General features: G+C 52.0%; 1 long non-coding RNA gene and 1 pseudogene across 1 annotated transcript in view, besides 6 other annotated features; both read right to left on the bottom strand.

The window, feature by feature from the left end:
- The window catches only part of SCIRT (stem cell inhibitory RNA transcript), a 78,930-nt gene extending 72,903 nt beyond the window's left edge, over nt 1–6,027 (bottom strand). Inside the window, exon 1 of the long non-coding RNA NR_125864.1 lies at nt 5,872–6,027. This is a non-coding gene — a long non-coding RNA (stem cell inhibitory RNA transcript). The remainder of the gene's footprint in view (nt 1–5,871) is intronic.
- Nucleotides 4,438–4,497: an enhancer, noted in NCBI's record as "active region_24627". NCBI's record gives its function as "activates an Ori minimal core promoter by ATAC-STARR-seq in GM12878 lymphoblastoid cells {active_cell/tissue: GM12878}" and the evidence as "EXISTENCE:reporter gene assay evidence [ECO:0000049][PMID:35858748]".
- Nucleotides 4,538–4,637: an enhancer, noted in NCBI's record as "active region_24628". NCBI's record gives its function as "activates an Ori minimal core promoter by ATAC-STARR-seq in GM12878 lymphoblastoid cells {active_cell/tissue: GM12878}" and the evidence as "EXISTENCE:reporter gene assay evidence [ECO:0000049][PMID:35858748]".
- Nucleotides 4,718–4,797: a silencer, noted in NCBI's record as "silent region_17247". NCBI's record gives its function as "represses an Ori minimal core promoter by ATAC-STARR-seq in GM12878 lymphoblastoid cells {active_cell/tissue: GM12878}" and the evidence as "EXISTENCE:reporter gene assay evidence [ECO:0000049][PMID:35858748]".
- Nucleotides 4,888–5,147: a silencer, noted in NCBI's record as "silent region_17248". NCBI's record gives its function as "represses an Ori minimal core promoter by ATAC-STARR-seq in GM12878 lymphoblastoid cells {active_cell/tissue: GM12878}" and the evidence as "EXISTENCE:reporter gene assay evidence [ECO:0000049][PMID:35858748]".
- Nucleotides 5,658–5,917: an enhancer, noted in NCBI's record as "active region_24629". NCBI's record gives its function as "activates an Ori minimal core promoter by ATAC-STARR-seq in GM12878 lymphoblastoid cells {active_cell/tissue: GM12878}" and the evidence as "EXISTENCE:reporter gene assay evidence [ECO:0000049][PMID:35858748]".
- Nucleotides 7,038–7,107: an enhancer, noted in NCBI's record as "active region_24630". NCBI's record gives its function as "activates an Ori minimal core promoter by ATAC-STARR-seq in GM12878 lymphoblastoid cells {active_cell/tissue: GM12878}" and the evidence as "EXISTENCE:reporter gene assay evidence [ECO:0000049][PMID:35858748]".
- Nucleotides 20,503–21,126, bottom strand: RPL29P16 (ribosomal protein L29 pseudogene 16; annotated as a pseudogene).

A 26,319-nucleotide genomic window follows, 5' to 3' on the forward strand; every position in this document is an offset into this window, starting at 1 on the left:
TCACCACACTTCCTGCAGAGCTTTGACCCTCTAGGAGAGCAAGCCCCTCCCCAGGCCAGGGAAGGGTCTCAGCAGAGGCAGCAGGGAAGGGGCAAGGATCCAGCTTCCCCAGTAACCTAGCATGCCTCTGTCTTCCAGCAAGTCACCAAACCACTCTCCTATCTGTCCCTATTGTCAGCCTATCCCATCCCTCAAGGCAGCAAGTTCTTAGGTTGGCTTCCCACTGTGTGGGCAAACACGCGGCCTCACTCTTACTGGAAGCCAAGACTTGCTCCAACTGGGCTCGGCAGGAGAGAGTTCTCAAGAAGCCCAACCCTCAAATACATACTCTGTAACCTAGATGGAGGCTCTCACAGAACCTGCCAGAGGCAATCACTAACCCTGCTTTACACACCTAAAGGTAGCTTTTTAAACTTTAAAAAATTTGTGATAAAATACGCAGAACATTTACCATTTTAACCACATTTAAGTGTACATTTCAGTGGCATTAAATACATTCACATTACATACGTTCACATTACATATGTTCACATTGTTGTGCAACCATCAACACCATCCATCTCCAGAATTCTTTTCATTTTACAAAACAGAAACTCTGCTCATTGAACACTAACTCCCCATCTCTCCAGCCCCTGGCAACCACCATTCTACTTTCTGTCTCTATGAATCTAACTACCTTAGTTACCTCATTAAAGTGGAATTATACAATATTTGTCCTTTTGTGATTTGCTGATTTCACTTAGCACAATGTCCTTAAAGTTCATCCCTGTTACAGCATGTGTCACAATTTTCTTCCTTTTTAAGGCTTAATAATATTCCATTGTATGTATGTACCACATTTTCTTTCTCCATTTGGGTAGCTTTTTTTATTTATTAACTACTTTTTTTTTTTTTTTTTTGAGACGGAGTCTCGCTCTGTCACCCGGGCTGGAGCACAGTGGCTTGATCCCGGCTTACTGCAACCTCCGCTACCCAGGTTCAAGCGATTCTCCTGCCTCAGTCTCCAGAGTTAACTACTTTTTAAAAAAACCAAAGTAATATATTCTCGTGGCAAAAAGTCTGAACAGTTCAGAAACACATAAAGTGAAAAGTGGACTTTTCCATCCCTTCTCACTCTGGTCATGGAAAGCCCTTTCTGGTGACTCTGAAATTTTAGAGGCAGAAGGGCTAACTGGTTTTTATCCATTTTTTACACATATAGTGACATACTCCTCATCAGTACTTCTCAAACACGAGTATGCATCAGAATCATACAGAGAACATGTTAAAACCACAGACTGCTGGGCTCCAGCCCTAGTGTTTCTGATCCCGTAGTTCTACGGTGGCCCAAGATTCCAGGTTTCTTTTTTGTTTGTTTTTTCAGACAGGGTCTCTCTCTGTCACCTGGGCTGGAGTGCAGTGGCACCATCTTGGCTCCCTGAAACCTCCACCTCTCAGGCTCAAGCGATCCTCCTGCCTCAGCATCCCTAGTAGCTGGGACTACAGGCTAATTTTTTGTAGAGAGGTTTTGCCATGCTGCCCAGGCTGGTCTTGAACTCCTGGGCTCAAGCAATCCTTCTGCCTTGGCCTCCCAAAGTGCTGGGATTACAGGCATGAGCCACTGCAACTGGCTGAAGATTCTGGATTTCTAATAGGCTCCATGCCCATGCTGGCAGAGGGCACACCCTTCATGGAGTAGCACCACCCAAGGAATGTCTTGCCACTTGCTTTTCTACTTAGTGAATATCAACACACAACCTCAACCTCACTCTTTTCAACCACTGCATACTATTGGTGTTTGGAGGCATCATAACATATCCAATCCGTGCCCTATTAATGGACTTAATGTTGCTTCCAGTTTTTCAGGTTTGGAAGCAAAACTGCAATGAACACACTTGTATGTATACTTTGAACACTTGTGACATTTATAACAGTGCATCTGATAAATTCCTAGATATGGAACCCTCGAGTCCATGGTTTGTGAATTAATTCTTCTCATGTATACTGCCAATCCCCTTCACAGGTGCAACTGTCCTCCCCCCCAGCTCTGAGGATGTCTGTGTCCACACAGTGAGGGGTTGCCCATTTTAGTTGTTGTCAATCAAATTGGCGAAAAGAGAATCTTCTCATGTCTTCATTTTGATTTCTTCTATTTTGACTGAGGGTGAGCATTTTCACCTGCTTGTTAACCATTAGTATCCCCTTACCGGTTTATGTGCTTTGCCCATTTTTCTATTCGTTTTTATTTTCCTTATTGACTTGTAAAAACTCATCGGTCATCTATGTTAAAAATATTTTTTCCAGACGGTTGTCTTTAGAATTCAGGATATTACATTAAAAACACATTTTTTTTTCAGAGATGGAGTCTCACTGTGGTGCCCAGGCTGGCCTCAAATTCCTGGGCTCAAGTTATCCTCCCACCTCAGCCTCCCAAGGAGCTGGGACTACAGGCATGTAACACAACACCCTACGTCATATTTTAATACAGCCAATTTTAAAAAATTCTTTCCCTTTGTGACTCCTAGGTTTTGTGTCAAACTTTCCCCAATCCAAGAACATACACTTTTAGACTTTCAGATGTTTTCTTCTAGTAATTTTATGGTTTCCTTTTTACATTTAAATCTTCACTCCATCGGGATTTATTTCAGAATAAGAGATGAAGTGGGGAGCTGGATTTCTTTTTTTTCCCCCTTAACAGCTAACCAGTTGTCCAATTTGATTGAATAATTCATCTTTTCTCCTCTGATCTAAAATGTCATTTTATCATATATTTAATTTCCATTTGTTCACGGGTGTGTGTCTGGCCTCTACTCTGCTCCTTTGATCTGCCTGTCTGTTCTTGTGCCAGTACCCAACTATTTTATTATTGGAGCTTTCTACAACATTTTAGTAGCACTAGTCGTCCCTTATAATACTTCTTTTTCAGGATTTTCCAAGCTCTTTTTGCATGTTTATTTCTCCAGATGAACTTTAATATAATTTGTCAAGTTCAAAAGATCTCGTTGTTTTTCACATCTTCCAACAGATGTGATTTTCGGACATCTCAGCCCACAGCCAAACAGAAACAAGTTGAGAATAGGGTGGGTTTGGTGGTCTGCCCTGGAGGCAGGCAAAGTGATGGTAACAGAAGTGATAGTTTATACGGAGAGAGTTGATGAAGTGATAAAGTACTATAAAAGTAGACACAAGAACTACGAAAATGTAGCCTTCATGGAATGAGCCGTTGGTGTGGGGCCAAAAAAGGCCTTGGATTTTCACTGTATTACAACCAGGATACTGATGGACCCTTGTAACCACAACCCTGAGTCATGAAGACTCACATGTTCTGTAACCTCTGATTAAAAGCCCGGAAAGCGTGTAATATCCACTAGTGATTCCTATCCAAAATATCTCTTTTTAAGGTTTCAGATATTAATGTCTGGAAAACTAGTATGAAATGGTTCATTCTTGGATGGTGACATAAACATGACATGTTACTGGCCTCTTTACAGTTTTCTCAAAGCCCACCTTCAAATTCCAAGGAGCTGCCAGCTCCGGGATTTGAATTCACTCTATCCATGGAAACAAAGCTGAGGGAAATGTCCCCAGACTTTCAGCCAGTTCAAACACAATAATAAAAAAAGGTTTACCTCATACATGCCTCCAACATATGAGGCATGTTATAGGCAGATTATATTTTAATCCTCAACAGCCCCGCTGGGTGAATGCTGTACTCCCATTACACAGAAAACTGAGGCTCAGAGGGGTCAAACAACTGGGGCCAGTTTAAGTTAGTACGTGACAAAGAGCTCTCAGCTACCTCCACCTGCACATTCCACAGACCAGTCCCCTTCAGTTCACTCCCACAGGGAGGTTCAAAACACCACCGACCCTATTCAGACATCCCTTTGCAAGGCCCTGTCACCTGTCTTGCCCAATGCCCACCTAGCCAGGAGAGCCAGGATGCACAGTGAGGAAGGTGGAATGAGGTGCCAACGTAGCCCATCCAGGGAAGGAAGACAGCCCCCCCCCCCCGGCCACCCACTTGCCAGTGGCCCAGGTGGCAGGCCAGCCACTTGCCAATCCCCTTCCTGATCAGGGATTCAGGAAGTGAAGAGAGTGCCCCTGGAAGTCAGGAGACACCTCCAAGATGAAGGCCCTGCCTGCCATAGCCTGACACAGCCTCCCTGTACTCCCTGGGTTGTCCCAGGACGCAGACTCTGTGCTTACCATACCACACCTTTGTCAGTGGTGTGGGCAGGGCCCAGCAGAGTCCTGGACACCCCAGGGAGTAGGAGCTGTGCAGGTAACATAGGAGGGGGTGAAAGGGAAATGAACTCCCTTGGGAGTTCCCCATCCCAGAGGAAATAAAAGTCAAAGCACTCCTTTGTTTTTTCTTCCCAAGCCCTTATAAGGGGCTTTATGGGGCTTGCCTAGGTTTGAGGTGCAGCAGAGGCAGGCGGGTGAGGGCCTCCAGGCTGAGAGATCCTGGGGCAAAAGTGAAACTATATGGTCATGAACACGGGCATGTTCTGAACTCTGTGAAACCCTAGCCCAGGACCTGGCTGACTGTACAATCCGTCACCCGGCACACCGTAACAGAAGACCCTACTACGCGCAGAGGACAGTACTATTGGGGTGGCAACTGAAAAGGGTCCTGGCTGGAGGCGGGGTTTGCTGGAGGGGTAACAGAGCGTGCGCGGAGTGGAGAGGGTACGGAGGCTCACCGCCCAGCATCCCCAACCCCGGCGCTCAGAAGAGCAGCGCGCTCCGGAGCTCGGCGCGCGCGATCAAAGCCGGCGCCGCACGCGCACGCGCGCCCGCAGCCGCTCCCCCGCCCGCGCCGCTCCGGCTCCCGCGCGCGCGCACTTGAGGCCTCCCTTGTGCGTCTCCTCCATTCGCTACGTGCAGAATGGTCCGTCGGCAGCAGCTGCAGCGCTGGGTGGGAGGGGGAGGAGGAGGGGAGGGGGAGGCGGCGCCCAGGTCTCGGGGAGGGGCCGCGGCGGCCCTGGAGATAGAGGGGTGGGGGCGAAGGGGTGGGCCCCCGCAGCGGGGAGGACAGAGGGAGAGTCCGGGTGGGCTCGATGCTCAGCCTTCCCCCTCCCCCGCTCCCGCTTCTTTCTGCGAGGCCATTACGGCCATCTCCCGGCCTGAGCCTCCTGGAACCAAGCCGACCAAGAGGGGTTTCCTCCGTGTTGTCTCGTCCCCAAAACCCAGAATCCAGACCCAAGAAAGAACCACTCCTGCTGACCCCTCCTCCCGCTACCCGTCCCAACCGCATTCCCAAGCTTTCGTGGAGGTGACCCAACAGCAAGCACTTCCCCACTCCGCCTTTCATGGGGTGGGGTCCCTAAGAGGTACTGCAGACTAACTCCTCTTTTCATCTCTTACCCCACCTGGAGGAAGAGGCATGGCCAGGATGGACACCAGAGCACATTTCCCAGCATTTCCAAGGGGAAAGGGCAGCATCTCAGCATGCAGACTCCAACATGGCCACAGAAAGGTCGAGTGGCGCAGAGGAGCAGGCTGCTGCCCAGGCCCCTAGGGCCACTTCCAAAGGAGTGTGACCACGACTAGGTTGCTGTGGACTCACTCGCATTACAGGGCTGCGCCCTATACACCTGTTTGTAAAGGGTCCTCCTAGAATGTAATGGTGAGGGACCACCAAGCGGTGGACCAAGAATTCCAAACAGACCAGCTCCCTGCCTTGCCAGGAAACCAGATGTGGCCCAGATGTCCATAGCAGTTCCTCCCACAGGGTGGGACACCAGCTATTCTGTGCAACCCCTCCCAACCCTTCTTCCAGGGTCAGGGAGGAAAGCTGGCAACCTCCGTTGTCCCTTCCCATTTGGGTTGCTAGAAGGGAGCAACTCACTCATCCTCCTCTTCCTGCCAAGAGCCACCTGGGCTTACCTCTCCAGCAGCCACCTAGGTTCAACCTGTGGTCTAACCTCAAGCCCTCTGCTGACAGGTTAAGTCAAGATCGCCGGGAAGGAAGGCGTCCAGTTTCATTACACACACAGACGTACACACACACCCGACACCGACCCACGCGCCTGGGCTCTGCACAGTGGCTAGACCCCAAAAAGCCGATTCTCCTGTTCCCTCCGTGGTGGCCTCAGTCTTTTGGCGGCGCCCTCTGCTGGCCACTAGGAAGTGCAGGAAAAAACAGTCTGCCCATAGACGCTTGGTGGATCTGGGAAAGGGGACAAGAGGCAGAGAAACAAGTGAAAAGTGGGAGCTGAGAGCAGCGCTGGGCTGGCCACAAACAAGCGAGGCATGGTGACGCCTTCCTGGAGGTGGGGAGTTTTGAGCCAGCTTTCCATGGGCCTAGGGAGACAAGCCGAGCTGGCAGATAGGGGCTCAGGACACCCCAGGAGTGGCCCTTCCTGTGTGCTGAGCCCTACCCCTGTCCTGGATGGCTCATACACCCACTAACTCATATGGCTGCTGTGCCCTGCTTGGGAGTCCTTCCTGTCAGCCTCTATTGGGGTGGTGGGTGGGGAGGAGCAGCCATGGAAACCCTGATCCTTCTAGTCATAGTCTGGCTCCCTGGGGCTGTGAGAGGTGTCCCCAAAGAGAAGCCTCCAATTGACAAACCTCTGCTCCACCCCACCCCACATACACAGAGGATGGCCCAAGCCCAGGTCCCTGGCATGGTGGGGCAGGGGCCTGAGTCACAGCCTGGCGTGACCCTGCCCAGTCCCCAGGAATGGCCAGCTCGTCCAGAGGTGAGACCCAGGTCAACAATCCATCAGTCTGCCTCCTGCCACCAGGTATCCTCCCCATCACGTCCTACACGTGGGGTGGGCCAGGACAGTGCTGGGCAGAGCTAGTGTTGGGCCTGTGCCTGGGGGCCACCAAGGGGGCCCGGAGAAAAGAATGGAGGGGTTTTCACTTCCTGAGCAGCAGGAGGAGCCAGCTGGGGTTAAAGACAGGAGGGACTGGTTGGGCCTACAGGCATTTGGAGTCTCTCCCTGCCTGCTGGGTGAGGGAGGCAGCAGGTGCCAAGAACTGCTAGCTTCTAGGACCTGACCCTCAAGTTGCTTCTCCTGCTGAGGGGCTTCTAGGGTCACCCTCAGGGCCTTGACATCTGCACACATCTGCACAGGCCCTTCACCAGGGACTTAACCTCCAAAGGCAGCTCCTGCTCCCAGCCTTCACAGGCCCCCCTAGGGCCCAAGTCCCCAGACCCAACCTCAGTCTGCAAGCTGGCCAAGTCAGAGGTCCTGGCTGCCTGGACCACTCCCAAGCAGTAAATGGCACTGTGGGCTTCCTCCATCCTGTCTTCCCCGCCCCACTTCATTGATTCACTGACTTCCAACTTACTGGTCAGGCCCCCTTCCAGACCCTGCCTGGATGAAGAGGACTCCCAGAAGCAGTGATTGAAGGCCTAGGAGGATACAGAGAGCCAGGTGCTTTAATTGGAGGTAATTAGTTAATTTACTCTGAAAGCAATGGGGCAGGGCGGGGACAGGGGGAGGAGAGGGGAGGGGAGGAGGTAGGGGGCTGTGACCTAACTGGGCTCAAACTCTCAAACTCTGGTCAGCCTCCTTCTGGACCACAGCAAACCTGTGTGTACCCACCCACTTAGGAGACCCTCTCCTGGGCCCCAGGTCAGAGCAAGACCCAAAGTGGACTAGGGTGGCTCTGCAGAAAAAGCAGGTGCCCTGGGGTGGTGGGAACAGGCCTTTTGAGGTTAGGGAGGTGTGGACTGGCATGAGGGAATTGGAGAGGTGCAAGGAGCTCTGGGATGGGAACTGGTCCCTCTCCTGTCACGTATAATTCCATCCCTCCCAAGGTCATTGCTGTCACCCAAGTTAGGGGCCCAGCCCCCTCCTTTGGTCAGTGAAGTCCCAGGGCAGCCCATTTTAAATACAACGGGGCCTGAAGGCTAACTTCTGGCCTTCCTGCTTCGGGAAATCATTCCAATAACCGGGAAAAAAGGGGGCCCGAGGACAGAGCCCCTGCCGGGCCCCAGGGGGAGTGTCGTCGGCTCCTTTGCGTCGCCGGCCGGCGGCGTGGCGGGGACTCTGGCCGGCAGCCTCCCGCGCCGTCCGGAGCAGCTGACCCGCTGGCGGTGGGCCAGGTCGCGGCGGGGCCTGGAGGCAGCAACGTGCGGCGCGGCATGTCGCGGGCGCCGCGGCAGGGAAATGTGGGGGCGGGCCGGCGCGCCCCCTCCCCCCCGCCTACGCTGGCCCATTCATAAAACCTGCAGGCGCTGCCCGGCCTGGCAGCCTTGGTCTCCTAATTGCAAACTCATTAAGGAGTTTGCATCTCATTTGCATGGAAATCATTTCCTGGCCCTAAACAGAGAAACTTCCCGCCCCTCCACCAGCCCCTCTCTGCCCTGCTTTACCCATGCACAGTCTGGGAGAGGAGAGGGGGCATATCTCTGACCTGCGCCCCTTCCCTGGCCTCACCACCACCCTCCCACTTTAGGAGTTGGGGAAGGGATTGGCAGAACACCCACCCAGCCAGGAGCCCTGCCTGTGCCCCAGGTGAGCCGGCCCTGCCCTAGTGGGTCCAACTGAGGGGAGGTGCCTGCCAAGTCATTTGCCCCCCGGCCTGGCCGTGCCCAGGGAAGGGAGGAGGCGGTCGGCAGTTGGCCCCAGCAGCTGGTTGTACCTGGCAGGAGGTGGGTGAGGCTTTTCGTGCCCAGCCTCACGTACGTGCCCTGCCATAGGCCGTGCCCCCACCCCCACACCCCTCACCCCACAGAACAAGCGCCTAGTGACTGCAGAAACAGACACCCAGTCATGGCACACAAAGGCACCCACACCAGGCCAGCCATCATGGCTGCCCCCCTGGCAGCCACCCTGGAGGGCAGACAGATGCCTTCACAAGCCATTTTGTCTTTCTCCAGCTTGGTGCCAGGACTGGGGGTGGGGGAAAGGGTTTCTCCTGAGACTTCTCTGAGTAAGGGGGCCCACAGAGGGGTTTCCTTATGTACCCCAGCTGTGGCCTCTTGCCCCCTCTCTCCTGTAACCCATGTTTACAGAGGCCTCCAAGTGCTCTACCCTGCATGGGGACCTGCCCAGGCGAGGGGGTCACAGGAGCCTCCAACCCAGGAGGGGAAGTGAGAGATAAAGCCCCTAAGGAAGGGACACCTAAGTGCCTCCCCAACCAGGGTCTGTCCTTCGTGTCCCAAGTGTGTGTAGTGGAGGGAGTGCTCCCCAGTTTCCTGGGGGTTGAGGTGGGGCGGTATTCTAAACCTTTGGAAATGGAATAGAACTACCTAAAGTATATGAAATTAGATACTACTTGGGACACTATGTCTTGGTTCTGTATGTCCTGGGACAGTGTAAAAAGTGATCACAAAATTTTCAACATCACAGTCTAAAATAAAAACCTGCCTCTTGTCTGCCTCCTCAGACATAAACCTGCTTACGCTTCCCATCTGCCCACACTCCCACCTGCTGTATCTGAAGTTTCTCCCTTCCTTTGCTAGGGCATAAAGGGGTGGGCAAGGATGTTCTGGAACACTGACCACACATCCGTCCTGAGTATGGCTGGACTGACCCTACCCTCCCAGCTCCTGGAGCAGTTGGGTTCCAAGTGCCATATGTGTGCGTGGTTCAGGGGTACTGGAAGAAAGTTTTAGAATGCCTATTTATTTTTCATCGAATCCTTTTTTCATTTAGTGTGAGTGTGTTTTACAAGGTAAACTATATAAAAACATACTCATCTGACGGGTGCGTACTCAACAATCTTTTTTATTGCTAAGGGCACATGATCAAAAAAACTTCGGAGGTCACTGGCCTAGACTTCAGGTGGGGCAGCTGTGGGCAGGGGATGGCTTGTCTTGTCCATCTAAGTATCCAGCCTGACACATGACTAGTTCAGAGCCTGGCAGGGAGCAGAGGTCAGGGACACAGTATTGAATGAATGAAGTCCACCCCTAGAACTGACAGATGAGGAAACTGAAATAATTCTGGGGCGGGGAGATTGCTCAGAGGAGGACATGGGCAGGTTGAGAGAGTCTCCCCTCATTGCTGCTATGTCTGCAGCCTGCCCGTGTCCAACACCCAGCACCCACACAAACCTTACTTCTACCCACCCCAGGGAGCACAGCTCCCTCCTCTGCCTACCAGCAGAGTGGCCACCTGTCTTGAGCTTCTTACTGGATCCTGATTAGCAGAGCCAGACAGGGTTGTCACCTGCCATATCCCTCTACGTGGCAGAAAGTCTGTTGCCAGCTTTGTATCCTAGAACTCTCTGGAAGTCAATCTGGTGTAGGAGAAAGAATTTAGGCTCCAGACAGGCGTCAGTCCTCATCCAGCTTGGTGACCTTGGGCACAACACATAACTGGTATAAGCCTCAGTTTCCCAATCTGTATCTTGGGACCAATATTTGTACTTACTGTACAGAGTTGTTGTGAATGTTGAGTAGCCCACTGTGTGTGTAGGCTCTGGCATATACTAGGTGTTCAGTAAGATTCCTGTCCCTCTGTGTGCAGCAGGTGCCCCATGAAGAATCTGTTGAATTGTGATTTGACATCAGCATGGGAAGGAGAATTCCGAAGGCAGACAAATGAGCCTTTGCTCCCTCCTCTGCCTGCTGGCACGGTGCCCACCAGTCTGAGTTCTGTCCTGCACCTTCCTGCAGAAATGAAGCAGCCACTCTGGCAGCCTTGGGTCCCCTCCAGGCTCATCCACTCTGTGGTGGGGTGTCCTCCTCCTTTTCTCCCTTACAGCTCCTTTCCCTTTTTCTGTGCTGCCTTCACTTCAAGCATGAGCTGAGGGTGACTCCTGGTGGCCATTCATATAACTGCAGAATCCTGACCATTGTCACCGCCACCTGGAAGTGCATGAAGTCGAGTGTGCAAGGAAGCCATTCTTCACACTTTCCCTACACCTCCCAACTCCCTGTCAGGGCCCTGGGGAGCCTCAGGGGTGGCCACTCCCCGGGGACTCCACCCTCCGAAGTTCCACCTCTAAGGGCTTCACTTGCCTGATGGGTGGGGACGATCAAGGAGGCCTCTGCCCAGATCCTGCAGCACCAGGCCTGCCCCAGGCAAAAAGCAGGACAGTGGCTACTCTTCCCTCAAGTGCCACTGAACACTTTGCAGGCATCATTTTGTCCAATTCTTATCACTGGAGCCCATTATCACAAAGAAGAAACCAAGGTTAAGCAACTTGCCAAGGGTCACACAGCTCCTCAGTGCCCAAATGGTGAAATGAATACAGGTGACACTCAGTGGGACACCAGACCAGCCCCTGGGGGACAGAAGAGGCCTATAGGAAGGAGCCTGCCATGGGGTTAGAAGCCTCAGATTCTGACCCGACCTTGCCCCAACTAGTGGGGTGGCCTCCATCAAGGGCCTCTGCTCACTGAGCCTCAGCCTCCTCGATGGCATCATGGGGCGGAGGACAGAGCAGGATTCTCAGATTGGCTGTACATGGGAATCACTGGGAGGATTTTTCAAATACCCATGTTTGCCCAGCCCTGACTAAGGAAATCAAAATTGGTAGGGGTTGGCTAAGACAAAGGTAATTTTAAGAAAATATTTCTAGGTGATTCTATAGGCAGCCAGGGTTGAGAATGGGTCCTCTAGGAGTTCCCCATCTTCAGACTTCCCAGCCCTCTAGAGGTCAGCTCCCCAGGGCTCCCCTCTGTCCTAAGGGCTCTCCAGATAAACTTTTTTTTTTTTTTGAGACGGAGTCTCGCTCTGTTGCCCAGGCTGGAGTGCAGTAGCGCAATCTCAGCTCACTGCAAGCTCCGCCTCCCGGGTTCACGCCATTCTCCTCCCTCAGCCTCCTGAGTAGCTGAGACTACAGGTGCCTGCCACCACACGTGGCTAATTTTTTTTGTTTTTTTTTAGTAGAGGCGGGGTCTCACCGTGTTAGCCAGGATGGTCTCAATCTCTTGACCTCATGATCCGCCTGCCTCAGCCTTCCAAAGTGCTGGGATTACAGGCGTGAGCCACCGCACCCGGCCCAGAGAAACTATCTTAGCTTGTCTACCCAGACCCACAAGAAGCTGCCTCCCAACCACCCAAGGGGACACAGGCCCATCAACCCTTTCCAGAGGGGGCACAGTAGGCTTGAGACTCTTGAGTCTCTGACCCCCAGCCTGGCCTCTGGGGTGGGGGGAGAGAAAGTCATAGGGAGCTTAACCTCAACAGGATGAAGGCGCCATAATTAGGGTCAGGCGGTTGGCTCAGCCTGCGGAAATCCCCAGCTTAGTAGGGATGGGGAGTGGCACTGCAGCCTGCGGGAGGGTTCAGGGCAGAAGTGAGGGGGCAGGGGGAGCCCAGGCACATGGAAACCCAGGACCTAGGCCCCAATTGCATCCTGAGAGGGCCCACTGGGGGCTTCTCAACACAGTTCACTCCCTCCCTGGGGTTGCTGAACCCCAGGGAGGGAGGGAAAGGCTGACCAGCCCCCCAACCCCAGAGACCCTACTGCTCCCTCAGGCTGGGGTGCATCAGGATCATCCCCCTACCCCAGCCTTTGTCAGGAGGAGGAGGGCACCGGTGGGAAAAGGCTACGTGAGTGTTCCCAGGGCGACCCAGGCTTTTCTCCTGACTGTAATCCTCAGGCCTTGAGAGAGGGATCGCTTTCCACTGTGGAATGTAACAAAGGGGACAAAATGGGGCAGGGGAGGGGGGCAGAAGCCAGGGAGGGAAGCTTGCAGGGTGGTACTTTTAGCCCCCAAAAGGCCCTCCAGGAGGCAGCTGCACAGAGAGAACCCCCCTGCCCCCATGACTCCCTGAGCCTGTCATCCAGCTCACCCCAGGGCACAGGGTCTCATCCTGGGTTGTCCAGGTGTCCCCCCGCAGACTCCTGCCATGAATCCCAGTGCAGGGGGATTTGGATGATCACCTTTGCCAGCCACTCATTTTGCAGGGGAGGAAATATTCCAAGAGATGAAAACTAGCCAAGACCACGCAGCACCAGAACCACTCCCAGAAGCCCCGGCTTCCCCAGAGACTGCTTCAGTGAGCCGGCAAAAACTGAAGCCTGCAGCCTCAGGAGTTCCCACACACACCTAGGCCAGAATCCCTCTGCCCCGCAGCAGGACACCCCTCCCTCTTGCCCTCCAGGGTCATGGGCTAGACATGGCAAGGTAAGCAGAAGGCAGATGCATACTAGTCCACACAAGCTTGTGACGGCTGGGACTAGGGGCCAACCTAGTGGCTCCCACGTTGAGAATCAACGCCAATTCCAGGAAGCCTTCCCGGCTAACCCCCAAAAAGCTGGCAATACTTCCCTCCCACAACACAGCCTTGGCTCTCGAAGGCTGTCCTCTCCCCCAGCCTCACTCTGACTCATCATGTAGGTCCCGCATGGGCCTCAGTTCTCCTGGCCATGGGCTCTCCCCATACCTTAACCTGGGAACCGTTGTGGGCAGGACCATGTGGGACAAAAAGGTCCTGTGCCCAACCCAGCACCAATCACAGGGAGGCCTGGGGATAAGCAGGGGCTCTTGGAAAGGGGGCAGAACTCAGCTCAAGTCACAGAACCTGGGAAGGACCTTCAGTGGAAAGCCGCTTCAAATGTCATCTGGGATGAGCATGGTGGCTCACACCTGTCGTCTCAACACTTTGGTGAAACTGAGGCTGGAGGATTGCTCAAGGCCAGGAGTCGAAGACCAGCCTGGGCAACATAGCAAAACCTTGTCTCTCTGTGTATTTTTTTAATATTAAAAAAAAAAAATTTAAGGTCATCTGGTCCAGTCCCTCGTGCCTCCCAGTTGGGAGGCACTGAACTTCTCAACACTGCAGAAACAGGCATCTCTTCATATATTTAGTCATTCAGTCATCCATCCAATGAACCTTGCCCAACTATCTTCTACATCTCCGCAGCCCAGGCAACCCAATCCATTCTCAAGGCACAGACTAAATCCTTACCAAATAGAGTCAAGGGTCCATCCATTTCCTCTCCTGGGCCTAACATGGTGCTAAGTGGAAGTAAAAGGTGCTGATCAGCAACGGCCACCCACTTTTATGTTGCACGGTGGCATTCTCACCTGGCTTGCACATCACCAGGTGATGTTCATTTCAGACTCAGCCACCATTCCAGACAGGTTGTCCCTCACTGGCAGATGGGAAGCTGAGGCTGAGCAGGTGAAATGGTCTTGCAGCTGGAAGAAAGGTAGGGCCAGGACTTGGCCCAGGCAGCTAAGCTCCCAGCCCCAGATTCATTTTACACACCCACTCCCAGCCCTCCACCAGCTTGGGTTTCATGTGGAAACAGGATTTCCCCCGGGGGAATGAAAATTTGATTTTGGCCCCTAATTATAAAAATAATAACAGTGAAGATGGATCAGAGGCCTGCTGGTCTCAGTGCTGTGCTGATTTTGCTAAATGCACAGGTGTCAAGTGTTGCCCACAGAACCCCCCACCCCTCCTCGGGGCCAGGCTCACAATGCCCTTGGCTGGCACAGCTGCACATGCAGACACACACGCACGCACACACATGCATGCATGAGTCCCTGCACGTCCCAGGAGATGTGTCCCACCCCCTTCATTCCCCTCTGATAACCCAGCAGCTTCCAGCAGGACAGACACGTACCCTTCAGGCTGGCCATGTCAGGCACGTGCCAGACCAGCTGCCAGGGCCCAGAACCTCAGGCCTGCTGGGCTCTAGAAGGTGACTTTCTCCATAGCTGACCCTGTTCAACCTCAGGAAGGATGATAACTCTCCGGGATGTGAGGGATGTGAGACCCCACCCAAACCCTCTGCGGAGTCAGTGTCCATGCAAGGTAGGGTTTAATGAGAAGCCTCAGGGAGCCCCCCAGCTTCCTGTGGGCACCCAGCCCCTGCTGGAGTCCTGGGGAGAGTGGGCATACTCTGAGGAGATGCAGAGAAACAAGCAGAGGCTGAGGTGGGGCCAGCAGGGCTCCAGCAGGAAAGGGGGTGAATCTGGGAAGGGTAGAGGTAATAGAGATGCATGGAGAGGGCTTGGCCGAGGAGTGCTAACTGGGTAGTTGGAATTTAAGAAAGAGAAGACCCGTGTGACCTGGGAAGAGATTAGGAAATGGGCTCTAGAGCAGGCAGCACTGGGTTTGGATCCTGGCCCTGCCACTTATAAGCCGGGTGACGTTGGGCAGGTGGCTTACCCTCTCTGAGCCCCTCCATGTCATCTGCAAAATGGGCATACTAATAGCACCCAGCTCACAGATTGTGAGAAGAAAACGAGGTCCTCGGTGTAAAATGCTAAGCGTTGTGTCCGGCACACAGAGCCTGCTCAATTCACGGTAGCTGTTCTTTGGAAAGTACAGAGGCTCTGAGAGAAAACCCTGAGAAGTGAGCCACAGCCTACCCTGTGGGCTGTTAGAAAGGGGGTCCACATGGGTGAGAGGCAGCAGAGGGGCTGGGGCCAGGGACCAGGGCAGCCTCTGTCCTTGTCACTCTTGTCTTTGAAGGGTATGACAGGGTGAAGAGGTAAAGACAGCCACTGCTGCCCTGCTGGGGTCTTTCCAGGGAAATTGTGAGGGTCCTGGGGAGCTTTTCTCCACCCCATGCCTGCATCATTCAGATGAGGGGGCCAAGGGCCACAGAGAAGAGACTTGCCCACGGTAACTCAGAGAGTGAGGATAGAGGTAGGCCTGCTAAGCCCTAGTCAACTTCCTTTTCCCTGCCCCTGCTCAGAAAGAGAAGCCAGGGGCCAAAGACCTAGAAACCACATTCCCTGGGAATAGAGATGCAAGACTCTGCTCCTGTTCCCATCCAAGGCTTTGACTAAGACCTTGCTGAGGCCTGGAGAACTCGCGTGCTTCCTCTAAAGCCCAGACCGAAGACACCTCCTCTGGAAAGCCTACGCTGACCGGTGATGGCTGTCCTGCCAGATGGCCAAGCTGCATTCTGCCAGGACAGGCTCATACCCTTCGGGCTGGCCATGTCGGGACGTGCCAGACCAGCTGCCAGGGCCTGGGGCCTCTTTTGAGGCTTTGACTTGGCCCCCACCCTGGTTCGTGGACCTGTTATTTCCCCATGCTGAGCTTCAAGGTTCTGAGGCCAGAGACAGGGTCCTAGTCAAGTTTGAGGCCTCAGATCCAACACCATGACCCAGCCCAGTGCTTTTGTGCGTGGAATGAAGGAATCCTGACCATGCTGGGCTGAGACCTGCCAGGGCAAGGGCCCCAGGAGTAGGCACAGGGCCCTGGGGCATAGCCATCCTGCCCTGGCCTATCCCTGCCCCATGCCTGAGCCCTATGCTAAGAGCAAGTTCCTGTTGCAAGCTGTACCCTGTCCCAGACACGTGGCATTTACCAAAAGGGCAGAGACAGTGAGAAGGGCCTCCCCTGTGCCATCCACTCACAAAGGGGCTGGAAAGGCCAGCAAGAAGGAGAGGAGTCATATTTCAAAGGGCTCTGAAGATGTCACAATGACGGCAATGCTCACCACCTCAAACCGCCCAAGGAGCCATATCCAGACTAGACAATATAAGAAACAGCTGCAGAGCAGCCAGAGGACAGCAACCCTACCCCAGAAATGGACATGAGAGATAAACAGACAATTAAACAATTGAGGCCAGGAGTTCGAGACCAGACTGGGCAACATAGTGAGAATCTGCCTCTTTAAAAAAATGTTAAAATTAGCTGGGCAAGGTAGGGTAGTGTGTGCCTATAGTCCTAACTACTGAGGAGACTGAGGTGGGAGGATCACTTGAGCAGAAGTTGAAGGCTACAGTGAGCTATGATCACACCATAGCACTCCAGCCTGGGTGACAGAGTGAGATCCTGTCTCAAAAAAAAAAAAAAAAAAAAGAAAAGAAAAGATGCTGAAAATCATTATACATCACTCTACCTCTAGTAGATGGGAAAAATTCGAAAGCTGGATAAAGCCCAGCATTGGTGGGGATGTGAGTGACAGCCCCATCCCCACAGGGCATGTACTAGGGGAATTTGGCAGCTCATTCATAGAGTGGGTGGACAGGAAAATGTGTGGCTGCACATCATAGGGTTCCATGTAGCAGTTGGAAGCAACAAGGCTAGATTTTATTTTGATTGATTGATTGACTGCACTCCGTCACCCAGGCTGGAGTGCAGTAGCATAATCATAGCTCACTGCAGCCTCCAACTCCTGGGCTTAAGTGATCCTCCCGCCTCAGCCTCTCAAGTAGCTGGGACTACAGTTGTACATCACCATGCCCAGCTCAAGGCTAGATTTTATACAGTGTTGACTCAATGAGATCTATAACACAATGACATTTATCAAAGTAAAAAGAAAAATACGTGCTTACAAAAGAGTAATGCCCACCTGCAGGAACCATACAAACAAAGGCATCAAAGACAGTAAAATGGGGAAACAAAAGAAGGGTGTGAGGAAGGGAGGAAAGGAATAAACACCAAACGAGAAAGGTCAGTGATGCCAGTGAGCCTGCCATGGCCTGAGTAACACTAGCCACACCCCCGGTCCACAATGAGGACCACATCTGAGGTCCACAGGGAGGAACAGTCCCCAAGGTCCTCAGCGCAGGCTCAGGTGGAGCCAGGAGCCGCTTCCATGAGGGTCAGATCTGGGCCTAACCTCAGAGCTTGCCCCTCCCCGCACCCTCCACAGCAGAGGAGGCTCTTGGCCAAAGTCAAGCTGCTGTACACGCAGGGTCGCACCCACCTTGGGCCCCTTTTATGCCCTGGAAGTGGAAGAGGACAGACCTCAAACTAGAGCAGTGATTCTGCCCTGAGCTGGGTGCCAGGAGAAAATGGGAAGCAAGTCCTCACTCTTACAAAAGTTCCTGGGAGGTCAGGCGCAGTGGCTCATGCCTGTAATCCCAGCACTTTTGGGGGCAAAGGCAAGAGGATTGCTTGAGGCCAGGAGCTCAAGACCAGCCTGGCCAGCATATTGAGACCCCCATCTCTAAAAACATTTTTTTTTTAATTAGCTGGATATGGTGGCTTGCGTCTGTAGTCTCAGTTACTCAGGAGGCTGAGGCAGGAGGTTGATTTGAGCCCAGGAGGTCCAGGCTGCAGTGAGCTATGATCACACCACTGCACTCCAGCCTGTGTGACAGAGTAAGACCCTGTCTCAACTTTTTAAAAAAAAATTCCTGGAATTCAGGTAATTTTTTTTTTCTTTAAGGAGAGTCTTTATCTTTAGACACACATTTAGAAAAATCTGTGAAATGATATAATGTTATAAATGTGCTTCAAAATCTAGGTGTGGTGGCAGGGGAGAGGGGGCAAGTAGGTGGATGAAACCAGCTTGGTGATAAATTGATAGCTGCTGAGTCTGGGAATGAGTGCGTGGGGTTCATTATACCTTATTCTCTATTTGTGCACGTGTTTCAGAGTTTCCATAATAAAAACTTCAAAAAGAAAAACTTCCCAGTAAGAAACTCTCCCATGTGAGGGGACTAGCCCCTGACCTCAGGGAACCCCACCCAGTCTGCCAGGGGACACACAACCCCTGCCCTGCATCTTCTTAGCCTGCCTCGGCTGGCCAGGGGCCGCATTGTAGGACACAGCCATGGGGGTCCTGACAAATGCTCAGCCTCGGACCTGGCCTTATCACTGAAGCCAAGGGTCAGGCACTGGAGCCACATCTGAGCAGACCTGGTTCTGGTTCCAGCTCCACCTTGCACGTAGCCTGAGGCACCTCACCTGAACCACACCTGCCTGGATCCAAGTCCTGGGTCATTATCAGTGAGAAAGTCCTCCTGCTCTTACTGTGGCTGCTCCTCTCACTGCCTCTGCCTCCACGTCTGTATGATGAGGACTGGAATCACCAGGCAAGTTTGCAAATTAAATGAGGCAATGCTCAGTGTGCACTCAGACAGAGCTGCCAGGACCAGGGGAGGGAGCTGGCCAGGGTCATACAGCCAGCTAGTGGCAAAACTGGGTTCTTCACGGGAGCAGGGCACCGTGCCAGCTGCCACTCCCATCCCCCACCATGAGGCCTTCAGGCCAGTGGACAGCATGTCTTCTTTCAGAGTCTGAGGCCGTGTCCCTGAGACCCTGCCCTCCAGCCCCAACTCCCATTCCAGGAGCCTCTGACTCAGGAGAGCACCAGGAAGCCTGCGTGGGCCAGATGCAAGCCAGGAAGGACAGGGCTGGGGAAGAAGGAGGCAGAAGCCTCTATCCTGCCCTCCCGGAACACAGAGGTATCCAGGTACATCAGTCTGGGAGGGTGCACCCAGACTCAGGGACTCTACCAGGAGACTGCTGGGTGACTCCTAAGTCAGGAGTCTTAGCCTTGCCTGGCCTTTCCTTTAATTAACAATAATAATAGTCAACATTTGTATACCTCCTACTGTGTACAAGGCAGTGTTCTGCTTTAGGTGTATTATCTCATTTAATTCTCACAACAACCCTAAGAGGCCAATGCTATTATTGTCTTCATTTTACAGATGGGGAAACCTAGGCAAAGAGAGGGTAAGTAACTTTCCCAAAGTCACTCAGCTTGCACACAGCAGAGCTAGGATTTGGCCCCAGCCAGCCTGCCTTGAGTTTGTGCTCTTACCCACCCCAGCGCACTCTCAGACAGCATGGCCTGGCTTTTCCTGAGCCAGCGCTTCTGATTCCCCCTGGGGTATAACAGCTGATACCCTGTTTATACCACAACACCTGGGATGGGAGCTTCACCCAGGGGTGGCAGTGCTAGTACCCGGGCAGCACTCCCACCTTGTCTCTTACTCGGGAAAGCAGAGCAGAAGGTAAGCGGGAATAACGCTATCAGAGGGATGGGTTTTTAACTCATTATTTTCTCTTCTTCTTTTTTGTTGTTGTTGTTGAGATAGGGTGTCACTCCCATCACCCAGGCTGGAGTGCAATGCCACAATCTTGGCTTACTGCAACCTCCGACTCCTGGGATCAAGTGGTTCTCCTGCCTCAGCCTTCTGAGTAGCTGGGACTACAGGTGCATGCCACTGCACCTGGCTAATTTTTGTATTTTTTGTAGAGATGGGGTTTCTCCATGTTGCTCAGGCTGGTCTCAAACTCCTGGCCTCAAGCAATCCGCCTGCCTCTGCCTCCCAAAGTGCTGGGATTACAGGCATGAGCCACCGTGCCCAGCCTCCTTCTTCATTTAAATCACTCATAAAAAGTTAACCAAGATCTGGGCCAAGTGCAGTGGCTCAAAAATATATATACAAAAAAAATTAGCAGGGCATCGTGGCACACTTGTGGTCCCAGCTACTCAGGAGGCTGAGGTGGGAGGATTGCTTGAGCCAGGGAGGCAGAGGTTGCAGTGAGCCGAGATTGTGCCACTGTACTCCAGCCACTCCAGCCTAGGCAACAGAGTGAGACCCTGTCTCAAAAAAACAAAAGAAAGTTATCCAAGATCGGCAACAAAGTAGTCATGAAACACCCTTACAACCAGTCACAGCAAGGCCCTGGAGAATCTCTTTGGTCTACTGAATGCAAGCAGCTGGGGCATCCGCTCCCAGCTGAAACATGCTGAAAGAGGAGTGGATAAGAGCACAGGTCTCAGGGTGGGTGCTGCCACTTCCAAGCTGTAAAACCCTGGACCACAGATTAGTTCACCTCTCTGGGCCTCAGTTTTCCCATCCGTAAAGTGGGGTGATAATAGCATCTCCTTGCAAAGTTGTTAGAAGTTTGTTTTTTGTTTTTTGTTTTGCTTTTTTTTTTGTTTTCCTGCCTCAGGTTTATTTGTACAAATGGCAGAGGAGGACACCAGCCCCATGCAGATGGCAGCCCAGGGGGGTCATACTAGTCCTTCTGTCCTTATGTTGGCGGACAGAGATCTCTACTCTGAAACCTTTGTAGGGGCCTGGACAGCTTTGGGAGCCTGAGCTAGAACTGAAGCTGGAGCTGCAGCCTGGGCCTTGGTTTGGTCCTTGGCCTTGGCCTTTGGCCGGCACAGCCTGAGCCCCTTGGCAATGCAGGCACGAGCACGCTTCCCAAGCTTGGGGTGGGCAATGTAGGCAAGTCAATCGAGCTTGCGGCTGACACCCTTTGGGATCTTGGGCTTAACCTCCTTGGGCTTTCGAGGACCTTGATAGCCTCAGCACGTGCCCTCATGGCCTCGGCATTGTTGGCCTGCATCTTTTTTAGGCCCTTCTTGTTGTGCTTCTTGGCAAGGTGCATGCTCCTTAGGAACTTGAGGTCCACCCCATTAAGACATTTGTATCTTTGTGATCGGGGTTTCCTGATGCCATTTCTGTGCCATTTTGGGGACTGGTTGTGTGTGTTGTGGTTCTTGACGTTGCCATGTCTGCACCTTAAGCCGCAGCTGCTAAAGCACCTAGAACCGGAAAAAGCTAGAAAGTTTAAATGAACTAATGTATGTAAAGCATTCAGCCTAGGGCCTGGCACATAGAAGGTGCACAACATGGGCTATTAGCATTACTACTGTGATCAGGACCACCCCAACCAAGTCATGCGCTCTTTTGGGGGAAGGAACTGCATCTTATTTATCTTTGTCTATTTGAGCATTTGCCATGGGCTTGGCACACAGTAGGTGCTCCATGTCTTAGATCAGGTTCCCCAGAAGCAGATCCTGAGATGAGGATTCATAGCTAAATGATTTGGGAGTGCTCCCAGGGAAACTGGAGAGGGACTCGGGGAGCAAGACAAGAAAGTAAGAGGCCAAGAAGGGTGCAGATTCAGGCAAAATTCTGCAGAGGGTGACTTCTGCCTGATCTCGCAGGGGAACTTGGGAGTGTAAATTACACCTCAGGGTTGTCCTCGCCCCAGGCAAGGGAGCTGGGACCTCACTCTCCTGCACCTCAGTCATTGGCTAAGGGCCACCATGGAGGGGATAGATTTCCAGGCACTTCCCATCATGCTCCAGTAGCAGAGGGCAGTGCTGAGAGACCACCTAGAAGGGAAGGCACCCAGGGGCCAGGAGGGTCCATGAAAATGGAAAAGGGCTGGAGGGGACCTGCCACCTTCCATAAATGTCATCCCAGCCTCTGAAAGATCACAGTTCCCCAGGAAGTCCAGGACAGTGGAGGCAGAGTGGGCAGAGGGGACTGCCAGGCCGTGGGAGCAGCTCTAACTTACGCGTTGGTCAGAGCCGGGAGGTCCTTTGAGTGGCCAGCCTCCCTACCAGCTGACAGGGGCAGGCCTGGGACTGCCTGAGTTGGTCTTAAGAGCCCCTACTATGTGCCTGGCGTAGATGCTGAGTTCTTCACATGATTTTCTCATTTAACCCTCACACCACCCCTAGACAGATGACTCTGAGGCATGGAGGCATAGCATAGAGAGGCCTTCCTGTGACCCCCCAAAGAGTGAAGGGCAAAGATGATTGATGTCATTAAGAAATGCAAATAAAAACCACAATGAGCTATCATTTCACACCCACTAGGGTGGTTATAATAAAAAATCTTTAATGAAATATAAGTGTTGGTGAAGATGTGGAGAAATGAGATCCCTCACACATTGCTAGTGGGAATGTAAAAGGGTACAGCTGCCGTGGAAGTTTGGCAGTTCCACCTTAAGCTAAACACAGAAGCACGACAGGACCCTGAAATTCCACTCTTAGTATAGACTAAAACAAATTAAATACACTTGTTCAGACAAAAGCTTGCACAAGAATGTTCACAGCAGCACTATTCACAACCCCAACAGTGGAAACAACCCCTATGTCCACCACTGATGAATGGATAAACAAAATGTGGGTATATCCATACAATGGAATATTATTCAGTCTCATAAAAAGAAACAAAATACCGACACATGCTACAACATGGATGAACCTTGAAAACATTATGCTGAGTAGAAGAAGCCAGACACAAAAGGCCATATAGTGTACAATCCCATTTATAGGAAATGTTCAGAATGGGGAGATTTTTAGAGACAGAATGCAGATTGCTGGCTGCCAGGGGCTGGGAGTCAGGGACTGAGGAGCGGTGTGGAACTGGGGGGTGGTGACAGTCAAGAAGCATTTTCTTTTTTTTTCTTTTCTTTTCTTTTTTTTTTTGAGATAGGGTCTCACTCTGTCACCCAGGTTGGAGTACAGTGGCATGATCTCCGCTCACCACAGCCTCAACCTCCTGAGCTCAAGCAGTCCTCCCACCTCAGCCTCCCAAGTAGCTAACTACATGGGCACACCATCACAAGAACTCATTTTTGTATTTTTTTTTTGTAGATACAGGGTCTCCCCATGTTGCCCAGGCTGGTTTTGAACTCCTGGGCTCAAGCAATCCACCCGCCTCAGCCTCCCAAAGTGTTGGGATTACAGGCATGAGCCACCGTGCCCAGCCTGCACAGCATTTTCAATGTACTAAATGCTGCTAAATTATACACTTTTTAAGGCCAGGTGCAGGGCTCACGCCTGTAATCCCAGAACTTTGGGAGGCCAAGGTGGGCGGATTGCCTGAGCTCAGGAGTTTGTGACCAGCCTGGGCAACATGGTGAGACCCCATCTCTACTAAAAACACAAAAAATTAGGCAGGCGTGTTGGCACACACCTGTAATCCCAGCTACTTGCGAGGCTGAGACAGGAGAATCACTTGAACACAGGAGGCAGAGGTTGCAGTGAGCCGAGATTGCACCACTACACTGCAGCCTGGGTGACAGAGTGAGACTGTCTCCTAAATAAATAAAACATTTTAAAATGGTTAAAATGGCAACTTTTATGTGTACTCTGCCAGAATTCTCTTAAGTTAAAAAAAAATGTGAGTTTTGAACCTCCCCTCCAAGGGCCTGGGAGCTGCCAACACAGAGTCAGCCACAGTGTTTCCAGATGGACAGAACGAATCAAAAAGATGTCTGCCAGACACTATGCCAACAGGAAGATGGGACTCAAGTTGTTTTTAAAATTTTTTGTGCCTTGGCCTGCTGGAGAAATAAAAGCTCTGAACTTGAGTTCACATAGGCCTGAATGTAAATGCTGGTTCCAACACTGGCTGTGTGACCTTGGGCAAATCACTGAGTCTTTCTGGGCCTCAGTTTTCTCATCTGTAAAATGGAGATAAGCAGCAGCTCTTTGTTAACTCATGAAAAAGCCCTAAGTGTAGTGCAGGAACACAGTAAGGACCAGCAAGGGTTGGTTTCTTTCCTCCCTCTCCTTTCCCCACACATGTCCTTGACATTTATCCCAGCCAGATTTCACCTGTACAGACACCCTCCCGGGAGGTTGTACACAGAGCAACACTTGTCGAGGTTCTCTGATGGACCCTGCCCATGGGATGTTTACACTTTCAAAGAGAAAACGAGTTAATCCACAGGAAGCCTAAGTGATAGAGGGGACTGAAGAATTTCTAAACTAATCCAGGAAATATTCTGGACTAATCCAGGAAATATTCAGGCCCTTTCCCTCCAATCATGCCACCAGGCCAGCAACCTGCTTCAACACTATCTCCCTTCACACGCACACGCTCTCCAAACTCCTTACCCAACAATTCCCAGGAGCTGGTTTCTGACCTTGTTCTCCCCTGTCCATAGCTCAAAATGTCAGCATAAGAATGCTGTTCGGCCTTTCTAGGGAAGAACTATTCTTGTTTTCAATTTTTGGTATTAAAATATTCATTTTTTAGGATACAATAGTAGGAAACTAATTTTTTACCTATCCTGTGTCCTTACTTGACAAAATAAGATGCCACGAACCTTTATGCCAGTTCCCAAAATGACTTTTTGAATTTTTATTGATAAATCCTCAAATCTGAGAGCACAACACTGTGCTCCCTAACCCTAATCTCCCTCTCCCAGCAGGGAGTGAATCCTGCTTCATTTGCTCAGTGAGCACAAGGAAGGCACGGGCCCTGGGGTCCATCCCTGCCAGGCCACTCCTTCCAGCCCTCTCTGTCATTCCCACAGCAGCAGACAGGCAACAGCATTCCCTCTTCCCAGCATCGCTGATGCCAGGCTGGGTACCACAACCTCTGCATACCAACGGACTGGTCCCTACATCCTGATGCCAGAGGAGGTGGGTAACATTGAGCCATCACACTCACTCAATTACCAGACCCCTGGGTCAGCTTAAGAAGGGATGGAGTCCGGGCGCAGTGGCTCACACCTATAACCCCAGCACTTTGGGAGGCCAAGGAGGGTGGGTCACCTGAGATCAGGAGTTCAAGACCAGCCTGACCAACACGGAGAAACCCCGTCTCTACTAAAATTACAAAAAATTAGCCAGCCATGGTGGCGCATGCCTGTAATCCCAGCTACTCGGGAGGCCGAGGCAGGAGAATCACTTGAACCCAGGAGGCAGAGGTTGTGGTGAGCCGAGATCATGCCACTGCACTCCAACCTGGGCAACAAGAGCAAAACTCCATCTCAAAAAAAAAAAAAAAAAAAAAAAGAAGGGATGGTCTGTGTTCAGAGAGCAATTTTCCTCTGAACCAAATGAAGCTTCATCAGACTGTGTGGACCCCACTCCGCCTGAACAAGTCACAGCCCAATCTCCCCACTGAGAGGGGCCTATGAGCATCGCTGTGTCCTCTTGACCTTCTGTAAGTCTCTCGGGTTTGACCAGACCATTCTAGGTATTGTCCTACCACGCAGGGTAATGCAAAGGGCGTGGCCAAGGTCCCTAATGCTACAGCCAGTAATATACCCCAAACTCTCCACTCAAAATCCTGTCCTGGGCTGGAAAGCAAAGTAAGTGGCAGAAACATGAGGCCACCCCTGGACATTCCCACTCTGGGAGATATCAGGCTCAGCTCCACATGTAACCTGCAGCATGTGTTAGAAACCATCAGGAGATCACCAAGGGCTGCTAAGGGAAAAGGTTGGGGAAGACAATGACAGGCAGGCAGGCAGCAAATACAGGCTAAGGGTTCACTATGGACCAGGCATACTGCTCAGGGTCAAGAAAGCAAAAATGAGGAGGACATGATGCCCTGCCCTGAAGGGGCTCACAGATGAGCAGGTGTGGCTTGGAGGAAGAGGAGAGGCCAGGACTAACACGTATCAAGTCTGTTCATCTTCTGAGTTCCCAGAGAAAAGAGCCCCACACTCACGGAGCTGACAAGCAAGCCAGAAAGTAGGGAAATTTCAGGTTGGGATAAGCCCTAGAAGAAAATAAACAGAAAGTAAGATGAAGCAAAACCAGGCGGGGGATTTAGAGAAGGTGGTTGCAGAGGGCCTCTCTGAGGAGGTGACATTGGAAATGAGGTGGAGAATGGAATGAGAAGGAAACATTCCAGGTAGAGAAGGGCAGGTGCAAAGGCAGGGACGCAAGAAAGGACTGAGAATGTTCAAGGAGGGGCAGGGACGTTGATGTGGGTGAGATGTGGAGAGCAACAGGAGACAGGAGGCAGGCAAGGCTTTGCAGGCCTGGTGAGGAATCCGGGTTAAATATGAGCATTATCCCCATTTAGTAGATGAGAAAACCAAAGCTCAGAGGTTAAGTAACTTGCCCAGGGTCGCATAGCTGGTGAGTAGCCAAGCTGAGATTCCATCATATAGTCTGGTAACAAAGTCCATGTTTTCTTTCCTCTACTCACTGAACAGGAACTGGCTGGCTGTGACAAAATGTGATAACTGTTAAGTGATTAATGAC

The sequence above is a fragment of the Homo sapiens genome, chromosome 6 (genome assembly GCF_000001405.40).
Source record: "Homo sapiens chromosome 6, GRCh38.p14 Primary Assembly".
In the NCBI taxonomy this organism is placed as follows: Eukaryota; Metazoa; Chordata; class Mammalia; order Primates; family Hominidae; genus Homo; species Homo sapiens.